This window comes from Homo sapiens, chromosome X, assembly GCF_000001405.40.
Source record: "Homo sapiens chromosome X, GRCh38.p14 Primary Assembly".
NCBI lineage: Eukaryota > Metazoa > Chordata > Mammalia > Primates > Hominidae > Homo > Homo sapiens.
The window spans coordinates 130,958,579-130,960,424 of record NC_000023.11 but is presented as its reverse complement, the minus strand read 5'-3'; the positions used below and the strand labels follow the sequence as shown (position 1 = coordinate 130,960,424).

Below are 1,846 nucleotides of genomic sequence, written 5' to 3'. Positions count from 1 at the left end.
AATCTGAACATTGACCTGCCTTGCTAGATTGGGGAAGTTCTCCTGGATAATATCCTGCAGAGTGTTTTCCAACTTGGTTCCATTCTCCCCGTCACTTTCAGGTACACCAGTCAGACGTAGATTTGGTCTTTTCACATAGTCCCATATTTCTTGGAGGCTTTGCTCATTTCTTTTTATTCTTTTTTCTCTAAACTTCCCTTCTCGCTTCATTTCATTCATTTCATCTTCCATTGCTGATACCCTTTCTTCCAGTTGATCACATCGGCTCCTGAGGCTTCTGCATTCTTCACGTAGTTCTCGAGCCTTGGTTTTCAGCTCCATCAGCTCCTTTAAGCACTTCTCTGTATTGGTTATTCTAGTTATACATTCTTCTAAATTTTTTTCAAAGTTTTCAACTTCTTTGCCTTTGGTTTGAATGTCCTCCCGTAGCTCAGAGTAATTTGATCGTCTGAAACCTTCTTCTCTCAGCTCGTCAAAGTCATTCTCCATCCAGCTTTTTTCCGTTGCTGGTGAGGAACTGCGTTCCTTTGGAGGAGGAGAGGCACTCTGCGTTTTAGAGTTTCCAGTTTTTCTGTTCTGTTTTTTCCCCATCTTTGTGGTTTTATCTACTTTTGGTCTTTGATGATGGTGATGTACAGATGGGTTTTCGGTGTGGATGTCCTTTCTGTTTGTTAGTTTTCCTTCTAACAGACAGGACCCTCAGCTGCAGGTCTGTTGGAATACCCTGCCGTGTGAGGTGTCAGTGTGCCCCTGCTGGGGGGTGCCTCCCAGTTAGGCTCCTCGGGGGTCAGGGGTCAGGGACCCACTTGAGGAGGTAGTCTGCCCGTTCTCAGATCTCCAGCTGCGTGCTGGGAGAACCACTGCTCTCTTCAAAGCTGTCAGACAGGGACATTTAAGTCTGCAGAGGTTACTGCTGTCTTTTTGTCTGTGCCCTGCCCCCAGAGGTGGAGCCTACAGAGGCAGGCAGGCCTCCTTGAGCTGTGGTGGGCTCCACCCAGTTCGAGCTTCCCGGCTGCTTTGTTTACCTAAGCAAGCCTGGGCAATGGCAGGCTCCCCTCCCCGAGCCTCGCTGCTGCCTTGCAGTTTGATCTCAGCCTGCTGTGCTAGCAATCAGCGAGATTCCGTGGGCGTAGGACCCTCCGAGCCAGGTGTGGGATATAGTCTCGTGGTGCGCCGTTTTTTAAGCCCCTCGGAAAAGCGCAGTGTTCGGGTGGGAGTGACCCGATTTTCCAGGTGCGTCCGTCACCCCTTTCTTTGACTCGGAAAGGGAACTCCCTGACCCCTTGCACTTCCCGAGTGAGGCAATGCCTCGCCCTGCTTCGGCTCGCGCACGGTGCGCACACCCACTGGCCTGCGCCCACTGTCTGGCACTCCCTAGTGAGATGAACCCGGTACCTCAGATGGAAATGCAGAAATCACCCGTCTTCTGCATCGCTCACGCTGGGAGCTGTAGACCGGAGCTGTTCCTATTCGGCCATCTTGGCTCCTCCCCCCATTTTTTCTTTAACACACTCAGGCTGAGTCCTGATGCATGTCAAAAAAGGTAGACTGGTGTGGGTGAGTGGAAAGGAAGGGTGTTCATCAGGCCAGAAGTGTGTGTGTGTGTGTGTATGTGTGTGTGTGTGTGTGTGTGAGAGAGAGAGAGAGAGAGAGATTGAGAGAAAAGAGAGAGACAGAATGAATATGTATGACTGAATGTCTGGCATAAACACAATTACTGAAAATGGATAAAATTCAAAAATAAGGCTAGTATAGTGTGCAGGGACCAAACCATAGAATACTACTTACACAGGCTATGCTGGGAAATTAGCTGTGATTCAAATAATCCTCCAATTTCTGTTATCTG

The 1,846-nt window shown here is 49.3% G+C and overlaps 2 annotated features.

Annotated features, from left to right (window-relative positions):
• Positions 683-1,208: an enhancer, noted in NCBI's record as "H3K27ac-H3K4me1 hESC enhancer chrX:130093191-130093716 (GRCh37/hg19 assembly coordinates)". NCBI's record gives its function as "activates a minimal SCP1, AML or CMV promoter by ChIP-STARR-seq in naive H9 embryonic stem cells {active_cell/tissue: H9 hESC(naive)}" and the evidence as "EXISTENCE:reporter gene assay evidence [ECO:0000049][PMID:30033119]".
• Positions 1,174-1,433: an enhancer, noted in NCBI's record as "active region_29948". NCBI's record gives its function as "activates an Ori minimal core promoter by ATAC-STARR-seq in GM12878 lymphoblastoid cells {active_cell/tissue: GM12878}" and the evidence as "EXISTENCE:reporter gene assay evidence [ECO:0000049][PMID:35858748]".